Source organism: Homo sapiens, chromosome 10 (genome assembly GCF_000001405.40).
Source record: "Homo sapiens chromosome 10, GRCh38.p14 Primary Assembly".
In the NCBI taxonomy this organism is placed as follows: Eukaryota; Metazoa; Chordata; class Mammalia; order Primates; family Hominidae; genus Homo; species Homo sapiens.
Genome location: NC_000010.11, coordinates 115,039,961 through 115,063,631, shown reverse-complemented (window position 1 = coordinate 115,063,631; position 23,671 = coordinate 115,039,961). Strand labels below are relative to the sequence as shown.

General features: G+C 40.6%; 1 long non-coding RNA gene across 2 annotated transcripts in view; it reads right to left on the bottom strand.

Moving 5' to 3' along the window:
* Positions 1 to 996: 996 nt before the first annotated feature.
* LOC107984272 (uncharacterized) overlaps positions 997 to 23,671 on the bottom strand; it is a 39,616-nt gene continuing 16,941 nt past the window's right edge. For both annotated transcript variants that reach the window (XR_001747595.1, XR_001747594.1), the window contains exon 3: positions 997 to 1,150. This is a non-coding gene — a long non-coding RNA (uncharacterized LOC107984272). The remainder of the gene's footprint in view (positions 1,151 to 23,671) is intronic.

The window sequence follows — 23,671 nt, the reverse complement described above, 5'->3', positions numbered from 1 at the left end:
TAACGAGCCTTTGTAAGGTCAGACTTGCCACAAATGCTTTTTCTCCTGCACTGAAAATGGAGCAAGGTGGACAGAATTAACAACTGAATCGGTTTGGGTAAGAGCAGGGAAGTTCTTCAAAGAATCTAAGTTCCTTCCCTGGAGGAGCTCTGTGATAAGGCTGAGTATATCCCAGAAGGCAAGAAGTTGAATATTTAATTCCTTGTAGTGGAACTAATCACAAATGAGAGAAAAATTACCCATGTCGGACCATGGGACAACATTTAATGAATCGGAGAAGGTAACTACCAGATAGAATTCTGGCAGAATGACTTCACCAAGGATGGAGGAGAAGTTCTCCCAGAGGGATTTGTTTATTCCCTTCAGTTCACTAAAAGTCTAAAACAAAATCCAGTATGCTTTTAAGAGCAAGCTTGGGCACTTAACTTGGCACCTGTACCATATAAGACTTTATGACAAAGCCTCCTTTCTACGTAGGGACCACAGGCCAAAAAGCTCACCACTGTCCACTTGAGTCAAGATAGTTCTCATCATAAAGAATTCAAATACTTTTTAATAGATTCTCAATGACCTGATTAAACAAATATTTTGACTTTCACATGGTTTCTTTTTCTTATTTTTATATTGAGCAAAACCAGCTTGTTCTTCTAATTACATAGATTGTAGTTTTTGTTCCTTAGCTAATGACTTCCTTATGATAAGTGAGCAGAGAAATGGACAGATCAGTCTATTTCAGCCAATCTAATGAATTCTTTACATATGAGACCTGTGGAGAAAAGACTTCTGTATCACATTGCTCAATACCCCTTTTATATGTAAGCCAAGAGCCTTAGTGCATATAAAACATTTACGCTTAAGAAGCACAGCTCTCATAATAGATATGTATTAGCAAAGCCAAGTGTTGCATGAGAGGGTATTGTGTGTAGATGACTTATGGGAAAATTGTAGAAATTATCAGTGAATTCAAAATAATTATGCAGTAAAATTAGGGGGCTTGTGAAAAAGCAAGATTTACCTGAAGAGCCCAGCTTTCTCATTTCTCTCTCACGGTGTGTCACACGCTTTGGAGATCCAGCGGTAGACAACTTCTAGGACTGTCAGGAGCACTTACTACTCCAGATGGTGGTCTGAGGATTCAGGACTGATGTTCCTATGGAGAGTCAGCAGAAAACACAGCTGACTTCTGAAGGAAGAAAGGCTGGACACACATAAGAGGTCAGTTCCACTCCTGAGGCTGCACTGCCTGAGACTAACTACATGGACATGACAAACTTAGTGGTGTTAATTTCAGTGCTGTGCCCTAAGTAGTGGAGAATAGTTAAGTGCCCAAAATACAGCTTTCTAGAACATCCTGTATTGAGGAGGCCACCCTGCATTCCAGGAGCAGCTTAGTTCGTGTTGGTTTCCATAGGGGAATGCTTTAATTACAAAATGTGAATAGATCTTACAACATGTCAAAAAGAATCAATTGCTAGAATGTCTATTGTTAACTAGGCCTTTCTTTTGCCAAGAATGCTTGACCTAAACTAAGGTGAAGAGCCCTGGGAACATGGTCCAGTTGGAGGAGGAAGAGCCTGGCCCAGTGGCTGTAGTTTATTTGGTCTAGGATAATCTGAAGACATTGTCCCCAGGAAAAAACCCAAAGCAAAGCTAAGGCAGTCCATACAAACAGCCACCAGTCCCAGAGGTGAGGAAAAGAGAAAGATCACTAGAGTGAGGCAACAGAAATGGGAGAGAGCCATATAAGGAACCCAGCTTAGTAGAAACCCTGCAGAAGCTTTTACAGGGCATATGGCCTCAGGTACAAGCAGTGAGTAAGCTGTGAAAAGCAAGTACAAGGCTTAAGATAAAAGCACCCACCAGTAGAGTCCCTATGTTCTTTTTCCTGTGTGCTACTTTGTTGGAAGCATTTGTGAAATTAAGGAAGACATCAAAAAAAACCATTTTTAGCATGATATAGTGGCCCTTGCCCTTGTTTGCTTAGCCCTACCTTCATCCTAACATGCACTCTTTCCTCCCATAAGACTCTACCATCGCTACCACCACCTCAGGGACAGGAAGGTGACCCATCCTGGACTAATCCTAGTATTCCTAGAATTTGAGAACAATTCTCTTGTTCCCAAAGCCCCTTCCATCCTGCCCTCTCTGTGAGAAGGTTACATGAGCCAATATATTTTCCTTTTGACTTACGTTGGTTTGAATTGAGTTTCTGTCACTTGCAATCCAAGGGTTCTGAACAATATGCACGTTAATATATTTTTCACTCTCTTTTTCTTTTTCTCATACAAATAAAGATGTGCTTATCCTAAACAAACACCAGAATACTCAGTATTCTCATTCTTATAATTACATAAAATGATTTTCTATTTATCTAGCCCTTTTACTATGGGGCTTAGTCCTCATGAAGAGACTAGCATAGGTACACAGTGTAGGTTGGGGAGGAGATGATCAAGCAATAACCCCCAAGCCACGGAGCATCAGAAGGCTGAGGTCCTGATAACAGGACAGCATTTAAACATGTTTCTCTGGGTCCTCTTTTAGTTACTATGGGGATAGAAACATAGCTGCAAGTAAAGCTACCTGCTTTCTCCGGTACTCCAATGGAGATGTTTGAAATTATTGAGAAATGCTGGGGATAAAGAAGGAAAAAATGGAGCAATGAATCAATAATGCCAGTTGTGTACTTCCTCTGTGAAAGACACTGCTAGGTGCTGTGATATCTACAGATGGATAGAACATGGGCCAATACCCTTGAGAAGACCACATTTTATTTGAGGAAACAAGACATGCATATAAACAGACAATTACCCAATAGAAGGAAGCAAACACTAAAGACTAGTAGGTCGGGGCCAGGTGAGGTGGCTCACTCCTGTAATCCCAGCACTTTGGGAGCCCGAGGAGGGCGGATTGCCTGAGCTCAGGAGTTCGTGACCAGCCTGGGCAACATGGTGAAACCCTCTCTCTCCTAAAATACAAAAATTAGCCGGACGTGGTGGCATGCACCTGTAGTCCCAGCTACTCAGGAGGCTGAGGCCGGGGAATTGCTTGAACCCGGGAGGCAGAGGTTGCAGTGAGCCGAGATTGCACCATTGCACTCCATCCTGAGCAACAGAGCGAGACTCCGTCTCAAAAAAAATAAAAAAAAAAAAGACTAGTAGGTGGATTAGATAGGAAGTGCTGCATAAGTTTGGTGGAAGCAACATAGAACATTGCAAGCTGGTATTTTATTTGTTCTTTGGTTACAAGGAGATTCTGGCCAACTTTAGCCAAAATAGAAACTTATTGAAAAAGCAGCTCATAGGACTGAAGACAGAGTTAAGCAACAAACCTCCAGAAGGATCCGAACCAGGGTAGCCCCAAAAGACCTCATGGTCATGATGATAGTGTCAGCTGAATAATAAGTGGCTGGACTTAGTGGGAGGCAGTGAGAAGGAAAAAGGGGCAAGAAAGGCTTTTGAAAGTTCTCCTGTCCCCTCAACCTGACACAATGTGTACTTATCACTCTTAGAGACTGGAGACAGTTGATTATATAACATATATATCTCTATGATTCAGGGATCTAAGAGATGGAGGAAAGACATATATATTGAGGGCAAAAATATCACAGCAGAATGTCAGCCATAACTAAATTCTCCAGGCTCAGATTAAAGACCAGCTAGGGATTTTAACCACTTAAGAACCAAGACTAATATTCTAAAATTGACTGCCTAGAAAGCCCTTCTGCACTGAGAAATCTGACTCAGCAATCAGTATGCAGAAGCGAACGCTTGGCCTTCTGGCTTTATTGAGCGCTATTGACAGGACCAGGCATCCATGACAGCTAATCACAAAGTTACAATTAGCTCTCGTCTCCTCCTGCCCTTCCACAGGGCATCTGCTGCCCAAATGAGGCTGGCACTCACTTTGGCCTGGATGGGACCCTACAGGGAAATAGAGAGAATAAGCTGCCCAAACATTGTGAAAGGGTTACATCAGAGAGCAAACAAGACAAGGGTTCTGACATTGAGCTGTATTTTATAGAAACAAAACACATTTTGTTTTTTAAAGGAACACTTTAAAGGGAGTCTTATGACCACATGGTAGGGCGTCAAGGAGTGGGTGTGGAATGACAAAGTTGACAATATCATATGCAGCAGCCACAGATGGTTCCATTCCACTCAGCCAAGTAGGAGGCAGAACGAGCTGAGGAAATACTCCCCATGATCCTTGTAAGCGATTTCCTATTACCAATAGAGCTGGGGATTCTTCACTGTTAAAGGGAAGTCTTATTCCCCTAAACCTCATATTCCCATAAAGAATTCCAGGAAAAACTTGGGAGGAAACTGCCCTCTCTTTCTCCACACCACCTCTCTGGCTTTGTCCCGAATGAATTACGTGATTGTTTACTTAGGAAGGGGGACCTGACCAGCTGGTGCCTTTGGTGCTCTGCTTTTTGGAGTAGCCTGTTCTCGGTTGACTTTTTCATCCACCTCCATGCAGTAAGAGGTTGTTCTGTGGGAGAGACACAGAGTGTCCAGCTCTGCCAGTGACTGGGTGAGGAAGTTTGTCTTCTCACCCTGTCAGGAAGTGTTACGAAGCTCATTGTGGCCACGCAAGTAAGCCACATTCCAATCCAGTTGATATTTTCAACCTCATCCATTGGACATGCATATGTAACTCAACTGCTTCACAACTCAGAGCAGAAAGAGAGGAGTGGGTATCCCAAGGCCCCATTATTCTTTATTATTATTATTTTTTTTTCTTTTTTTTTAGAGACAGGGTCTCACTCTGCTGTCCAGGTTAGAGTACAGTGGTGCAATCACAGCTCACTGCACCTTGAAACTCCTGGACTAAAGTTATCCTCCCAACTCACCCTCCTGAGTATGTGGGACTACAGGTGTGTGCCACTACACGTGGCTGCTTTTTTTTTTTGTAGAGAAGGGGTCTCACTATGTTGCCCAGGCCGGTCTTGAACTCGTGGCCTCGAGTGATCCTCCTGTCTCAGGCTCCCAAAGTGCTGGCATTATAGGAATAAGCCAATGTACCTGGCCCCAATATTCTTTATGACCTCTAATAGCAGTCAGAGACATTCATCCATGGTGTTCAGGGATCTAAGTAATCACGCTAACACTTGACATCTGTACAGCACTCTTCCACACTATCTCTATGTGCCTCACGAAATCTTAGGACATAGGTAGAGCAAGTATTATTGTTTTAGTTTTAAAGATTAGAAAATGAAGATTCAAAGACGTTGAGTGAATTCCTCAAGTTTGTCTGGTTACTAAGTGGTGAAATTGGGACTCCAATCTGGCTTTCTAACCTTAAGTTCTGTAGGAATAAGATGGCCGAGATGCAGTTTTAGAATGCAGGTTTAAAAGCCTTATAGATTTGGGTTCTGGCTTTGGTACAGCCCTTGGGAAAATTAGTCATGTTCTTGAAGCCTTCCTGTCCTTACTTATAAAATAGGAAAGTAGGGTCATTTTGAAGATGTCATAGAATAATACAAAGCCCCTGACAAAGTGTATATTAAACATTCAGTAAGTGTCATCTTTCTATTATAGATTTAAGCCAGTTGAATAAGCAATTTATGTAACCAACCTAGGTTTGGTACAGATCATCTATAAATGTCTGGCCATAATTCTAAGGATTCCGTAAATAACCCAATGAAATTATTTTAAACTGAAAATGCTCTATGTTCCTATTTCAAGTACTTTATCATCTATTACAAGGTCCTCCTGAACAGAGAGACAAATTTTTGTAATATTTTTTCAGTAGTACTTTCTGTTATATATAACACAAAATGTAAACTGGTATAATCCTCTTAAAAAGCATTTGCACAATTTATATTAAGAATCAGAAAAATGTTCATACCTTTTGACTAAGTAATTCCACTTCTGAGAAATTATATAAAATATATAAAAAGCTACATCCGTACAAACAGGCATGCACAAAGAAGTATATCACAGAAGTATTCAAGATAATAAAAATAACCAAAGTGCCTAGCAACAAGTCTATCATTTAGAGTTCCTTGGTTGCAAAGAACAGAAAACAACTCTATCTTCTTTTCTGACTATCTTTCTTCCAAAGACACTGTTGGAAAGATTGGGTAGTTCGTCAAATGAATGGCATCAGGAAGAATGGAAACCAGGAGTGTCGGTATAAAAGCCTCATTGACAGTCTTTCTTTGGGGTACAGGTGTTAATTAAAATGACCCAGCTTTAGTCTCTTCTGCTCATCTCCAACCAAGCCTTGAGTGGGGTGATACTGTGATCAATACGGTAATTATCTGAAGATTGTGTGTAACTGGCCTGGCTTGGGTCTTCTGTCTACCTCTGGTGAGGCAAAATGGGGAGTGAAAACACTGTGATCAACAGTTCCATCCAGAACCCATGCAAAGAGTGGGTAGCATTTCCCTAAAAGAAAGAGAGGTGCTGAGTGGGCAGAATGACAGGTGTCTGCTACTTGGCAGAATGGCCAAATAAATTATTATTAATATATATTGACAATTTCAGACTATTTTATTGTCTTAATCATGACCATTATAGAGACTATCTAGAATGTTTATCCTGTCTTTTTTTTTTTTTTTTTTGAGATGGAGTTTCGCTCTTATTGCCCAGGCTGGAGTGCAATGGCAAGATCTCAGCTCACTGCAACCTCTACCTCCCGGGTTCAAGCGATTTTCACATCTCAGCCTCCTGAGTAGCTGGGAGCCTGCCACCATGCCCGGCTAATTTTTGATTTTTAGTAGAGATGGAGTTTCACCATGTTGGCCAGGCTGGTCTCGAACTCCTGACCTCAGGTGATCTGCCCACCTCGGCCTCCCAAAGTGCTGGGATTACAGGCATGAGCCACCACTCCCGGACCTATCATGTCATTTTAAATAAAAAGGCAGGATATTCAAATATGTGTGTAGGTGCATGGTTATATTTACAAAAAAAAAAAAAAGGTATTAGAAAAACAATGGAAGGAAATTCACCTAAATCCTTGCCAACAGCTATGTTTCTGTCTGATCTAGGCTCACTCAGTAGGGCACCTGCCTTACGAACTAAAGCCCAGAGAGAAGTCTGGGGCTTGGAGCTGGTTTTGAAAGAGTTGTCTCCAGTTGTTACAGAAGGCAAGAGTCAGGGAGTGAGAGCAACTAGAGGGAAAGAGAACTAATCACTTAACCTGATAAAAGAAACCAGTTCCTAGGACTTGAACAGAAACAAAGCCCAAAGTCAAGAGTTGAGAACAAGGTGGAGGAGAGGAAGTGGGAGGGTCAATGGCTTTCCTGTGACCAAGAGTGGATTGCCCAGACCTCCCTCTGTGAGGTGTGACTGCTCAGTAAATTGAGGCCTGGGCCTGAGGAAAAGGCACAGATTTGAAGGAGATCGCTGGGGAGAGGAAAAGTAGGTAATTTTCTGCCCCTTCCTTCTTTCAAACCTTCTGTGATGATTTTTAAATTGTATGCGAATAAGGGCCAGAAGTGATGGCTCACGCCTGTAATCCCAGCACTTTGGGAGGCCGAGGCGGGCTGATCACTTGAGATCAGGGGTTCGAGACCAACCTGGCCAACATGGTGAAACCCTGTCTCTACTAAAAATACAAAAATTAGCCGGGGTTGCTGGCGCACGCCTGTAATCGCAGCTACTCAGGAGGCTGAGGCAAGAGAATCGCTTGAACCCGGGAGGCAGAGGTTGCGGTGAGCTGAGATCGTGCCACAGCACTCCTGCCTGGGCGACAGAGCAGAACTCCTTCTCAAAACAAAACAAATATATGTGAATAAGGGAGATGAATAAAAAACACATTATAGTTTTAAATTGTTGATTCATTCTTCTTAAACGCCTACTGCTATTGTATCTCTATTAGCACAGAGAAGGAAGCTTTAAATTTGGAATGTGAGAAGTCTATTAAACTCAACTGCTATCGATATTCCTGAATTGTAAAATTTTACGTGTTTGACTTACAAGTTACCAAGCTTTATCTAAATTTCAAAGTGCAGGCTTTCTTTTCTTCTATAACTTAATGATCCAAGAGGAGATTTTGCTTATGCTTAGATGTAATGACTTCACGATTGGTTCTCTTACAGGTTCAGTAATCTGTTTGTTTTTATAACTCTCCAAAGATTCAGGGATGAAAACATTGCCTAGAGCTTCCTTTAAAATTTCTACAATTTTCCCCTTGATAATATGAGGACAAGGAAACTGTGAATAACAAATTATTTAACCAAAGGGAATGGCCTCTTTGCAAAACAAAGTTAAAAATAAAAATACAGCTTAAAGATTTCATATATTTGGTTAACGATACAACACACTTTTTTTCTTTCATTTCTGTGTAATTAAAAAAAGACATAGGTCCTGGTGTCATGTAGAAAAACTTCAAAGTTTCTGGGAGGGAGAAGAAGAAACAATCTGTGGGAAAAAAAATTCATGATTAGGTACAGGTTTTTGAGGACTTTGAAAACGAAGTTAAAAAAATACTATTTTCTGACTGCTGACATTCACATTTTGAAATATACACTTTCTTTAGAGCAGGAGAAAAAAAACTGTTTTACACAAAGATTGCCAACCTTATTGTACAGATCTGTTTAACACTTCCATGAGGAAATGATGTGTCTTAAGTCAAATGAGCTTCTACAGTCATATCATGAAACTTCCTTTGATATAAAACTGTATCCTCTATTTTTGACATGTCCTTCAACCATGGAAGAATTTTTCCTTTAAAAAAAAAATCTTACAGAATATAAATAGAATATCAAGAAATACAGGTTATGAGACAGAAGGAAGCCCAAATATGCATAGAATCCTTTGCTGGACTAAGAACATCTTGAGAAGAGCCACACACTTTAATCTTCAAGGCTGTCCTCTCTTTGTGATGAAAGCCTAAACTCTTAAAGCCCAAACCAAAAGGTTCCAAGGAAAATTAATTTGTGAAATTCGAAAGAAAAAAAAATCCAGCTTGTCATTTGAAATAATGAATACCATAATTCAGTACTTACATGATATGCACTAGATTTGAATATGCAAATAATACCCATTACGTTTTGAATTTAACTTTCATGCTAGCTGAGCTTTCTTTTTGAAAAAGGAATGGGAAAAATGTAACATAATCTTATTTTCTCTCTTCCACACAAGGTATAGTCCCCAAGTCTGCATAGGAAACCCCTACATTAAACAAGTTTCTGAAGGCCCAGTCTACACTTTAAATCCTCTCTGAAAGCTGACTTCCAAAGGATTTAAAAGGATGTTCAGGAAACCCCCGACTTTCCTGGATGCTCTTAGATAAGAGGTTTTTCTTATCACTTCAAGCTGCAAAACATAATCTTAGTTTAATAATTAGTATATCTAATCTCAACATTGTCAAAATTTAAAATGTTTTAAAATTAAATGATAACGTTACTTCAGTTTTAAAAAGAATCCTTCTTCCTGATTCCCCAGCTCAGGCCTATGATGAGGGAGAATCCAGCAGCTGAAAAGGAGAGAAAGCTGCTCTTTTTTCCCCACTTACAGCTTCTCCTCCTCTCCCCATCTTGCTAGCCACTAAGGTTGGAGGGCAAAGAGGAAGAGGAGGGAAGGGAATCAGGAATGTTCTTACTTGCCAGGTACCCTGGTAACTTAGTATCTGAGTTTACTAGGCTCGGCATATGTTTACAGCTGACTGGTTGTATGTGATTTTCTTTTTCTTAGGGGTGGGGGCAGGTGGGTGGGTAATTGTTAGAGACACCCCCACTCTCCATCACTGGGCATCTTTCCTATGTAATTTGCTCCACGGGGGAATGAATCTAGGTTCCAATTCAGCACTGAAGGTACCTCCAGCTTCTCTCCTACTGAGTGTTTCTTCTTCCAGGGACCTCTTAGACTAGCCCTAAGTCAACACTCATGAGGCTTTTCAGTGCAGGCCATCTTTTGGACTCCACGATCAGAGCAGCCAACCTGTCTCCCTGACTTAGCTGTGAGTCAGAAGCTAGACCATAAGGTCTCCCTAAGCAACAGTCTCCACACATTAGGCTCTTGAAGTGGTCTTGTTGAGGTCCTTTTCCAACTATGCTTGAGGAGCACAGGCCTCTCCTACCCTGCCTCAGTGGTGGTAGGGGTGGATTCATTCATAGCACACTAACATTTATCTTTGAAAATACTCTCCAACTGATTTCCAATATATATACTCTTGTCAAGGGTGAAATACTTAATAATTGTAAAACTGATTTCCCCCTACCTCTTCCTATCCCACACAGATATATATTAAATATATATAATACACACACATATATATGTATAGATATTTAAATCCTGTATGGTGTGCTGGCATTCATTTCAGACTATGATATTTTTATTGTCTTCAGTCTTAGGCAAAACTTCCATTTTAATATCTTATACTGATGTTCACAAGAATGTTCTAGTTCTGCCCTAAGACTTCAGAGAATGCATATATATGTCAGGTATTTGATCTATAAGTTATAGATCCTCAGTATAACCCAAAAGTAATACAAATGTGAGTGCTGGTAAATTCAAAATGTAAAAGAAATTAAAAGAAAAGTAATGCCTACAAGCTACCATGGTTCTGCTATTGTCATATTAAGCAAGTCAGTATCAAAGAAAATATGCTGAGAACATGTGAACTGCAGAAATTATTTACTTTTATCAAATAGCCATGGTTTTCATGCCTGTTCATTTTCTTAACACTGTATTTCCTGCTTCTTCAGATACTGCCTAGTCAATTACATGGGCTTCCTTTCACACTTACATCAAGGCCAAGAGTAAACTGTTCCAAGCACAATGCAACAGCCTGTTTCTTTTGAAGCAAATAAAATAGGAGCATCGTTTTCAATCTTTTTTTTTTTTAATTTTGCCTGAAAAGTGACAGGATAAGAATTAGGCTAAAGAGAGAAGCATGAAGAAACCTTTTCTTCCAGAAGGCTGAACAGCACTGCATTAACAATACACTTCCTGATGGGTAAGTGGTGAGTTCTTTTGTTTACTAAAATACCTCAATCAATTTTTCTTTTAATGACTTTCATCACCACTACCTACATATGCTGAAGGACATTTCAGCCCTGAATCTTATCTTTCCTCATGTACTTTACTGTTCAGAACAAGCACACACCACAGTCATGTGATATTCCTTATTAGCGTAACTGAAGCTTAACGGATATAATTAGTGGATTATTCCAACCCTCTCTTTAGTTCCTCAGCTTCTTTTATTCTTAAAGAGATGAATTCTAATAGGGGCTTTATCAGATTCTAAATACAGTAGAGACATATTAGAAGAATGAAATGCTCCTTATGACTCACCGTGTGGCTTATTGTAGTAATAAAATAAATGTCCATCCAGAGGGATATTGTTAGGTTTTAGAACTTCTCCCTTGATTCTTCACTGAAGACTTGAAACTTGGTTCCAATATCCTCCCACACCCCTACTAGCTGTGTGAGAGTGGCAAGTCCTTTCTCTCACTAATGTCATCTGCAAAATTACCCCATCAAAAAATGTCTAACTAGATAATTTCTTAAGTCAGCTATCCTTCCCCAAACTTTAACTTTCAATGCTGCACTCTATTCCTGGTACTTACCCAAGGCTAATTTGTTCAGCGTTTAAAAAATCAGAATGTATGGTACAATTATGGGTCATTTTAAATTTATTCCTTCACTTGTCACTATTTTCTATGGTTTCTCCACTGAACATGAATTATTCTTATAACAAAAAAAAGTTATTTAAAAGAGGACAAACAAGAAAAAAAAATCAATAAAAATGTATTTGGGATCTTACATGTCCCCAAGCCTTTGTCAGTTATGTGTTAAAACCCAAAGCAATTTGATCACCACGTGATGTAGAGATCACCATGATACACTTAAGGAATCTAATCACAACACTCTAAATGTAGCATTGTATCAAATTTTCTTTTTTTAATTTTTTAATTTTAATTTTTATATCAGATTTTAAAAACATTCGTGTAGCATCTATAGGTGGAAAAAGCATATGAGAAAAAAAAAATCAAAGACAAATCACATGTTATCCCGTTTCCCAGTAAGCTGACAATTTTAAAGTGCTCCAGATTATGATCAGAAATTCTGGGTTCAATTTACTTTTGTTCAACTAACATTTACTGAGTTCAAGGCATTGGAGATTGAAGATGAATGAGGAGATTATGATACAGTGGAAATGACAGATATTTAAGCAACTTCAAAATTAGTCAGACTGGCAAACATGCTAAACAGTCAGAAAGGGTACCCTGGAAAGCTCTAGTTCATTCTGACTGAGGAGATCAAAGGCCTTGTATACTCTGCTAAGAGGTTTGCGTTCCAGTGTGGTCTGCCCTCAGTGCTCCTTAACAAATTGTTTGGCCTCTCTGGCCATCTGTTTTCGCAGATGAAAATTAATGAAATTGAATTTTGAAATTTCTAATCCTATCAGCTATAAAATTCTAGGAGTCCATGATTTTATGTTATGACAATGATGAGGACCCTTTATCTAAGGCTTCTTAAACTCCTTTGTCCAGTCTCCCTGACCCCTTACTACTATTGTTACTGGAAAGAGGTCCTGATCCAGACCCCAAGAGAGAGTTCTTGGATCTCTTGCAAGAAAGAATTCACAGGGAGTCCATACAGTAAAGTGAAAGCAAGTTTATTAAGAAAGTAAAGGATAAAAGAATGGCTATTCCACATTCAGAGCAGTGGCCTGAGCTTCTGGCCTAAGGATACTTACAGTTACTTCTTGATTATATGCTGAACAAGGGTGAATTATTCACAAGTTTTCCAGGAAAGGGGTGGGCAATTCTGGGAGGTGAGGGTTCCTCCCCTTTTTAGACCATAGAGGGTAACTTCCGGAAGTTGCCAATGTACCTGTAAACTGTCATAGCACTGGTGGGAGTGTCTTTTAACATGCTAATACATTATAATTAGCATACAATGAGCAGTGAGACCAACCACAGATAACTCTCATGGCCATCTTGGTTTTGGTGGGTTTTGGCTGGCTTCTTTATTACAACCTGTTTTATCAGCAAGGTCTTGTGCTGACCTCCTGTCTCATCCTGTGACTTAGAATGCTTAGCCTCCTGGGAATGCAGCCCAGTAGGTCTCAGCCCTGTTTTACCCAGCCCGTATTCAAGATGGAGTCGCTCTGGTTGGAAGGCCTCTGACACTATTGTCATTCTCTATAGCTGAATCAAGTCTGGGATTATACCTCTCCTTCTGTTCCCATCTCTCTGTGGCTATCAAACTATGGAAGCAGTCAATTTCCAGGTAGAGAACTCTGCATTTGAGCTGAGCAGGTACAAAAAAGCAAATTTGGTTCAGTGCTTCCCCTTCTTTGCTTTCTCTTTAAGGATTATTGACTATATGCTACTTGGAGAAAGAAACAAATTTGAAAACCTGTTAAATTAGCTGTTTTTATAATTAACTGGTTTTGGCTGTCATTCCAATTTACAGGCATGCAGGGAGCTCATACTTTCTTTTTAGTCATAGTGATTTTTCAAGTTTCTGTCAGTCTTACACATTAACCTTGAAGCCACGTGCTTTTCTGACATTCTTCAAATTCTTTAAATAGATCTGGGGGCTTGGATTCAGGGCTGGCTTCTATTCACACAAGCATTACATTCTCAGCAAATAATATCCATTTAATTTGTTTTTAGAAGAGCGTTATTATTAGATCTATTCACAAGAAAAGGCATGTAGATACGTTTGTGTTTGATGATCCACTCAAGACATATACAAGAACAATTTATATAATATAGCCATCTTCCTGTTATTTATTAAAACACATGTGAAATTAATGTTTTGATCTATTCACCATTTTATTTAAAAATACTTTATTAAGCTTTTGCTATGTGAAAGGCAAAACATCATTAAACAAAATGACCCATCCTTTCCTGTGAATGTATTTTTTTCTTGTGACACTAAAATGAGTCCATTTTTAAAAAAATTTCAACAAATTGCTGGGGAAAGAGACTGCTGGATGAATCCTAATGCTGAAAGAACAACAGTTGATTAGAACGTAGAAGGGAAAAGGAAGCTAGAATGAGGTTTCTCAACTTTGGCACTATTGATATTTGGGGCCAGATAATTCTTTGTTGTCGGGGACTGTCCTGTGCTTTGCGGGATGTTTAACAGCATCTCTGGTCTCCACCCACTAGATGCCAGTAGCAACCCACCCACTCATCCCCCAGCTATAACAAATAAAAACGTCTCCAGACATTGCCAACTGTTCCCTGGAGTCAAATTCACTCCTGGTTAAGACCCACCGAGCTAGAATGATTCTTTCTCTGATAATGTGCCAGTCCGTACTCACTTTTGCTTCTTAGAGATGAAAGCAAACCCTTGCTCTTCAATCTGTATACACTGAGATTTCACAGAAAAGCAAATTCCATTCTCGTGCCTCTATTTTTGCCACCAGTGATAATGATAATGGTCCCTTCATGAAAGAGATTGAAAAGGTGGCTACTGGCCTGAAGTCAGGGTTAGAACTTAGTTTTCCTCAACAGGGATACATTTGTACTTACATAGCTACACTGTCTGATGTAGTCTCCCTTGCCTTAGTTCGGGCTGCTATAACAAAATATTAGGTTGGCACAAAAGTAATTGCAGTTTTTGCCCTGAAAAGTAAAGGCAAAAATCACAAATACTTTGCAGCAACCTAATATTGTAGCCTGGGTGGGGTATGAACAACAGAAATTTATCATCTCATAGTTCTGGAGGCAGAAAGTCTGAGACCAGGTGCCAGCATGATCAGGTTGTGTGAGGGCCCTCTTCCAGATGCAAGACTACCAGCTTCTCACTGCATCTTCAATTGATGGAAAGACAGTGACGGAGCTCTCTTTCTAAAGGCACTAATCCCATTCATGAGGGCTTGATTTTACCTCCAGAAGGCACCATCTCCTAATACTATCACATTGGAAGCTAAGACTTCAACATATGAGTTTTGGAGGGACACAAACATTCAGTCCATAATATACCTCCTGACTAGAGTGTGAGTGGTATAGGGGTACCACAATATAATGCCCCCAGAAACTTAAAAATGCAAGTGCTTTGGGAGTTAAATCTAGAAGTCAATATTTTTTATATTTAGTGGAGATATGCAAAGAAACCTTCAAGCAGTGGTCTTCACACTATAGTATATACAGAAATTACCTAGTGATTTGTTGAAAATACCGATTCGTGGGCCCCACCAACAGAGATTCTGATCTAGTATAACTGGGGAAGACCTAAGCATTTTTAATATACATCTAAATGATACAGATGCATATGGTCCATGAACTTCCCTTTGAAAAATACTGCCCTGAAGATTAAAAATAGCTACCAGCCTCTGATTGGAGGCATTGCCATGTGTCAAGAAAAGATAATCCCATCAGTAGGGTAGGAGGACAGAGTTGGCCATCGTCATGCCTGGAAAGGAGAGTCCTAGAGCAAGATGGACAGTGACAATCTAAGGTCCTGCCCAAGGACTTGCCTGTCCCTTCCTTAAGGCAGCAGGTATCTCAGTTGTGGAAATGGATATTCTGTGTCACCTTACCCTAATGTCATCAAACATTCAAAATGTGCAACTAGCTCTTTTTGCCTTCCCCTGGGGAATGCCCTGGGGTGGCTTTCTTCACTGTAAATTAATAAATTGATATTCTGAAGGTATATATCAGGCTTTGCACTTGGGTAATGTGAGTCCTTCTTAGAAATAATGGCTCTATCCTCAGCTTGCTGACAAATCCAGGTTTCTAAGTCTAGGTCAGAACCTGGACTGTGGTAAATTAACAAAGGTAAGACCAGTGGTGTGTTGGTAAATTTTTAACAGACAGCTCTCCAGGAGGGAAAAACAAAAGTCTGGATTTGTAGCCTTGGCCAAGCCTCATGGTACAAATGCTCACACTCCCACTGTGGCCAATTTCAAGCTACTAGCCTGACATCAGGCTATGTAGAGTTATGAAGAGAAGCACACCATTTATATATGAATAGTATTGTCACCATATGGATAAAATCAATGTAAATAATCCCAAGGCACAGATAGTAAAATAATTAGGTGGGGAAGAGTTTGGGGATAATTAGTTCCTTTGTTTTTATTTTAACTTATTTTATCTAATATTATTGTTTACATAATTTAATTTTAAATAATGACTATTTTTAACCAGCAAACAAAATTCCTAAAAATGAAACAATTGGCCCTCATGAGCTGGTACAGCTAGCTCCAGCACGCCACTGGAGATTGATGTTCATGAACTGGTTTGGGTGAGCAGATCACCTTCCCCAGATGATACCTGTGTTTCAAATGTGCATATTCTTTAGAGTTTCCATGTGGTTCATAGAACAGAGTCAGTATTACTATTTACTCCATGCTTAAAATCATAAGCCTGGTCTCATTAATCCCTTAGATGTACAGTCCTTATACAGTGTACAAAGAGCTTCAATGCCCATAATTTAAACTGATTTTTATAGCCACTTCAGAAATTGAGTATAACAGTTATTTTCCTTCTTTTACAGGTGAAGAAACTAAACTGAGAAGAACTAAATTACTTGCTCATAGTTAACCAGCTATTATGTGGCAGAGCAGAGAATCAAGGCAACTACCATTTATGGAAGGTCAGCTGTAGACCAGAGACACTGTTCTACAGTGTCTGTTACAGATCTCTTGCCTAATCCTCAAAGCAGTCCATGTGAAATAGATATTATTGGGCCTATTTTAAACATAAGAAAACTGAACTCAGTGAGATTATGTGACTTGTTCAAGATCACATGCCTGATAAGTCTAAGTCAGGATCAGCTACCCAGTGGTTGTCAAACTCTAAGGCACATCACAATCCCAGAGAGCCTGCTAAAATACAGATTTCAGGGCCCCACACCTAGGGATTCTGATTCAATGAGTTAAAGGATCTGCAGTTCTAACAAGCTCCCTGAGGATACTCATGATGCTGGTCTGGGCACCACACTTTGAATAACCTTGAGCTGCACCGTGCAACCTATTCATTGCTTCCTAGGAATCCAGACATCCTGACTCCTAGTTCTATGATCTGTCCACTACAACATACTGCAGTTTATTCTAACCTCTAAACTAACCAGACAAAAGACAGTATTGTGTATATGTTTGTAAATATACGTATTTTCTTTTAAGCAGTCGATATGACATGTGGTCGTTCTCAGTTTTTTTATGAACTGACATTATATAGAAAATTTAATTGTCAAGAAAACCATTAGATGAAAACATTTTAGAAACCTTTCATCAGGGTTTATTATTATTATTATTATTATTATTATTTTTTTGAGACAGAGTCTTTCTCTGTCACCCAGGCTGGAGTGCAGTAGTGCAATCTCAGCTCACTGCAACCTCCGCCTCCCAGGTTCCAGCGATTGTCGTACCTCAGCCTACCTAGTAACTGGGATTACTGGCATGCGCCACCACACCCGGCTAATTTTTGTATTTTTAGTAGAGACAGGGTTTTGCCATGTTGGCCAGGCTGTTCTCAAACTCCTGGCCTCAAGTAATCTACCAGCCTCAGCCTCCCGAAGTGCTGTGATTATAGGCATGAGCCACTATGCCTGGCCCAAGGTTTGTTATTAAAGTTCTAGTCATCCCTGGAAATAAACATTATAAGTCCAATTTTGTTGTAAATAGCCCATGTAGGGGAAAAAAGACAATTGTGTGTGTTATGGACACTCTGGAATCATGTATTACAAAATAAGCTCCCAGAAATCGCATTTACAAATTTCAATTTTGCTTCAGGGAAGATTGACTTCTTACTCAGCTGATATTTATACTTGGAAGATCTGCATTGAAGCATTACTTAATGATAACATTAATTATAATATTTATAAGACGTCTTTCCATGAGGCATTCAAATAACTGCAGTCATGTAATCTTTTTCTCAGTGTGGGCTCAAGAAACAGATGGAATTATCAACTCTGCCTTAGAGATGACAAGCCTGTGGTTCCACACAGACCTCAGGTGTCTTGGTGAAGGTCATTCACAGAAAGAACCTAAGCCTTGGGAATCCCAGCTCAGCATAGCCATGGTTACATAACTGCTCTTTAACAGATGCAGTCTCTCCACTGTGGGGTCAGGGAAACAGTGGTAAGACTCAAGCCAACTAGTGTGGTTACTTGGTAACAGCTTAGCTAAAAGGCTAGAAGAGAGAGGAGAATCAAGCTATTGGATAAAATTAAATGATTGCTTTGAATTACACATTTCTCTCTTATTTCCCAGCACCATAGAAAAATAGGAGTTGGCATTTGTTCTTTATGGCTTATCAAATCTGACCTGGGAGAACCTACTACAGCTTCCGAAAATGGATGTTTTATTAAAATAGCTTAAGTTTAATGTATCACATTTGCACAATAACAATTAGGAGGCAGTTCATTTTCAAATAGTGAGGGCTCTATGAGTACTTACTCAATTAAAATGATAATTTAATTATCTTCAATTGCCATATATGATTGGGGGAATCTATTTAAAGTTTTTGCCCCATCCCCACTGTTCTTCCCTTTGCCTTCTTTTTAAAATACCACATATTCCTGGTGAGTATTCATTTTGCCCTGTTCAAGGGTGATACATCAACTTACTGATCTCCCCGGAATGTTCATTTCATGGATGAATGAAAATAGTGATGCTCATTGTATTTCAGGTGCTTTACCCCATCTAAATGATGAGCAGCTTTATGAGTAGGGGAACTTAGAATTGTGTTATTATTCAGATCTCCACAGTTACTAGAAAGCCTGAGTAACATTCAGGAAGTTCCAAAATCCAGGCTTTATGTTGTTGGGAGTCCCTATTTATCAGGAGCCTGGGCCAGTCCCTGGAGGCCCAGGAACAGCCTGGAGGCAAATGCATAGGTACAGCATTGTGTCTGAATTTAGGATGAGGAGGCTCAGTCCTCAGGCTTTGGTGAAAACCCCCCTTAATTCTGGTCACTCTTAAAGATACCCCACTAATACTGACTGGTACAGGCTTCCATCGTATTGAATGTGTGCCACGCGCCTAGCACAGCCCCTGGCCCATCATAAGCACTCAAATATTAGCCATCATTTTGCATTCTTTTAAGACCATGCATCTTCTCCTACTTCTAATCAAGTTTCCACTGCTGCAACATAGACGTCCTCAGGTTTCTCCCCTGCTCAAAAACGTTCAGTGACTATTAGTTCCACCAGTGCTTCTCAAAGTGTATCAGAATCACCTGGGTTTTTTTTTTGCACAATTGCAGATTTTCAGGCTTTACTCCAAACCTACTGTATTAGACCCTTGAGGAGTTGGGTCTGGGAATTTGAATTTATTAACAAGCTCCACAAGTGTTTCTTACATACTCTACCAATAATTTGAGATTCCCCGACATGTTGCACAGTATGCACATACCTTTACATGGCATTTATTACCCCTTAAAACCTGGCCCCAACCATCCATCCAGTCTTATTGCCTGCCATACAGTATTATTGACACTCCCTTATCAGGAAAACTTGTGAAAGACTTTGAAATGAGAAAAAAACATCCTGGATGTGGATATTGTATCTATCATACCATTGTGGGTTATATCTGCCTTTCATTGTGTTTGAGTTATTTTATAATTCTGTTAGTTGTAGAAAAATTGGTAATGATGCAAACAATTCCTTCTGTAGAAAAGCAACTGAATTTTGTTATGTGAAATGCAACTGATTATTTCTCTGTGGATAAATCAGTTTACATCTACTTTTAAATTCATTTCAGCATTCCTTATTGCCTACATATGTGCATGGATTTATTTGAATTATCCTTTGAACTGGCTGTAACATCTTACAGGTTCCCTCATTAATTAATAAATTAAATAAGATCTTTGACACGTGTTCATTTTATATTTGCATGAGGTTATAAGTTTACCTTAAAATAATTATTCTTTATACGCTGAACTACACTGTAGTAGCTTCAGACTCTCTGCTGTGGTACAGTTTCCTTTCCCTCCTTGCCGTGACCCTCCCGTTTCCCTGACCACCAGTTTCTTTGGTGAAGTCCCTCTAACCCTTCAAGGTCCCACAGAGTTGCCAAGTGTCAGCTTCTCTGTCAAGCTGTTCTTCATCCATCCTTCCATCCCCAACTGCCCAACTCAGACTCAGTACCTCCCAACCCCTGACTCACATCTTGTTAGAGCATTTCTCACACCAGATTCCTGTAACAGTTGCTTCAAAAACTGAGAATGCAAGCATGGCCATTTCTCTACTTGACCTTTCTGTACTTCAGTTTCCTTATCTATAAAGTGGAGATAATAACAGCACTGACTTCATAGGGCTATTGTTAAGATTAAATGAGTTAATCCATGTAAAACACTTAGTGTATTGCCTGGTGCATAGTAAGTGTTGAATAAATGTTACCTGTCAATATTCTTGATTATATTTTCCTTTCCTTTTTTTTTTTTTTTTTTTGAGACAGAGTCTCGCTCTGTCACCCAGGATGGAGTGCTGTGGTGTGATCTTGGCTCACTGCAACCTCTGCCTCCCAAGTTCAAGAGATTCCCCTGCCTCAGCCTCCTGAGTACTGGGATTACAGATGCGTGCCACCACACCAGGCTAATTTTTGTATTTTTAGTAGAGACGGGGTTTCACCATGTTGGCCAGGCTGGTCTCGAACGCCTGACCTCGTGATCCACACCCCTTGGCCTCCCAAAGTGCTGGGATTACAGGCATGAGCCATCGCACCTGGCTATATTTTTTCTAATTAATTGCTTGATAATCTACATGTCTCAGATGCAAAGACTACTACTGTCTACAAAAACTGTCTTCCTTAGATTATATTTCCTGGCCCTGCTTCCAGCTAGGTTTGATCAGAAATGCCCTATGTGCATCTCAAGCCTGGTCCATAACAATTCCCACATGTGCTCCTCCAAACCATTCTCTGTTTCCTTAAGGCTGCAATGGAGACTTCAATGACTGGAGTAACCCTGAAAGCCACAGATCAAAAATACAGATTTCCTACTGTGTCTGGAATTTGTTCCTTCCGGTGGGTTCTTGGTCTTGCTGACTTCAAGAATGAAGCCACAGACCCTTGCGGTGAGTGTTACAGCTCTGAAAGATGGTGTGTCTGGAGTTTGTTCCTTCAGATATTCAGGTGTGTCCAGAGTTTCTTCCTTCTGGTGGGTTTGTGGTCTCACTGACTTCAGGAGTGAAGCTGCAGAGCTTCGCAGTGAGTGTTACAGCTCTTAAAGGCAGCACATCGGGAGTTCTTTGTTCCTTCCAGTGGGTTCGTGGTCTGTTGACTTCAGGAATGAAGCCACAGACCCTCGCAGTGAGTGTTACAGCTCATAAAGGTAGTGTGGACACAAAGAATGAGCAGCAGCAAGATTTATTGTGAAGAGCAAAAGAACAAAGCTTCCACAGTGTGGAAGGGGACCCGAGTGGGTTGCCACTGCTGGCTCGGGTGGCCAGTTTTTACTCCCTTATTTGACCCCGCCCACATCCTGCTGATTGGTCCATTTTACAGAGTGCTGATTGGTGCATTTACAATCCTTTAGCTAGACACAGAGTGCTGATTGGTGCATTTACAATCCTTTAGCTAGACACAAAAGTTCTCCAAGTCCCCACCTGACCCAGAAGCCCAGCTGGCTTCACCTCTCAATCCCCCCTCCAAACAGGACACCCCAGCTGCTGTTGGGATTTGGCGATGACCGCTGTAGCTACTTCCTGCTGGATAGGGGTGAAGAAGGGGCCCTGCAGTGGTAGTGTCCTCCAGAGGGGAGCTCTTTAGGCCATTGAAAGGGCCAGCGGGTCGGTCCAGGGGTCCTCAGCAGAAGTTGTTAGTTGAGCTCATTTGGGGTTACATTTGTAAGATCATCTGTAGCTTGATGGCCTCGATCCTAGAGGAAACAAATTTGACCAAGAGGTTAAAAATACAGGGCCCAAATGCGACTATTAGCAAGATGGCTGTCACAGGACCTAGAAAGGGGAGAAGCCATGTCGCCCAACTCCAGAGGTTGGTATAAGAGTTTGAAAGGCATTGTCTGATTTCAGAAGCCTTTTCCTGTAAACACTGGGTGGTATCTCATACTATCCCTGACTGGTTAGTATAAAAACAACACTCTACCCCTAAGAAGGTGCAGAGTCTTCCTTTCTCAGCAGTGAGGAGGTCTAGGCCTCAGCGGTTTTGGAGAGTCACTGCTGCCAAAGAGTCTATTTGGGATTGTAGAGTAAGGACAGATTTCGTCTCTTTTTTGCAAACTGTCTGAGAAATCCTTTGAGAGAGTGTGTGGTAGTAGGATAATACATGTTACGCTGTTAACTTTTAGCAAACTTTACTTTAGTTGAAAACCTTGTAAGTTTGAGATTTTAATTTTCTTTGCTATTAATAAAACCTCGTTCAGTCCATATTAACTTAGAATTGGTATAGATGGCTCCTTCCTGATTCTGTAAGTACTTTAAGGTTTAGCTGAGTGCAAACAGCAAACAGCTTCAACGTTTGAGCAGACCACTTATTAGGCAATTTTCCTAACTCTGCTTCTATAAGAGTTTCCTTATCACTTACTGAATACCCATTGTGTCTTTTTCCTTAATCACCTGGGAGGAACCATCTATCATCCTGTCCTGAAGGCAGTTCCTCCTATGTCTGGTCCGACCTTAAGATTTAGATTCCCTGTTAGGAAACCTGCTGTGTTAAGGATTTTTGATAAGAAGGCTACGGGTTGTCAGTGGCCTCAGTGCTTTTGGGCTATACCCTTGTTTACACTGACAACAAGGTGGTATTGGAGTATTATAGGGTTACAGAAAAGGCCTTCAATTATCAATTATAGGTTTTAAATTTAACCTGGCTTTTAAAGGAATAGGGTACACTGTTTTTTCTTTACTACTTCTCTTTCCCTCTCTTTGACTCCTTCTTTGTCTCTTCCTCTCTTTGCTTCTCTCTTTCTGTCTCTCTGTCTCTTCCTCTGTCTCTCTCTGTCTTTCCCCCTCTCTCTCTCCTCTCTTTTCTTTCTGACTCCCTCTTTGCTATCACTTCCTATCTCTCTTTCTCTCTCACTTTCTGCTCTTTCTCTCTTTCCTTTCTGCTTGTCTTTCCCTGCCTCTGCCAGCCACTTATGCTGCAGTTCTCCCCTCTCCTTCCCCTTTTGATGGCTTCGGCAATGTAAGACCGCCACCTCCTTGGGTTTTTGCACTGTGTGCAATAACTCCATAGTTTCCTTGTGATATTTAATGGGGGTTCACCCAGAAGTTAGGAATTCCCTTTCTTTCCATATCGCAGCATGGGCATGTAGGATTAGGTAAGCATACTTACTATCTGTAGCAAAGTCTCCCAGTTACAACTGAGGAGGTGGGAGAAATACCTGGATATAGGCTGTCCCAGGATTCCTCGGATGGTAACAGACCTTGAGGACAGCTGTCCAGGACAGGAGGTTAACACTGAGAAAGCCGCACCAGTGTCCAGTAGGAAGTCAATTTCCTGGCCCTCAATGGTTAAATGTACCCAGGGCTCAGTGAGGGTGATGACATGAGCTGGCGCTAACCCTGAGCACCCTCAGTCCTGTGGTTGGATCATCTGCTTGGGGGCTTCTGGCCCAGATAATCTTTGTCCTTTGGGGCAGTGTGGCTTCCAGTGATTGCTTCAGCATAGTGGACATGGGTGAGGGGGCAGCTTGTTTCTCATAGGACAATCTTTTTTAAACTGTCCTTGCAAACCACACTGACAACAAGCCCTACTGGGTGATTGGCCTGCTCCATTTTCTGTCCTCTCTGAACCACCAAGGTTTGTTTGTCTGAGGGCCATGACTAAGGCTGTGGCCTTTCTCTTATCTCGCTTT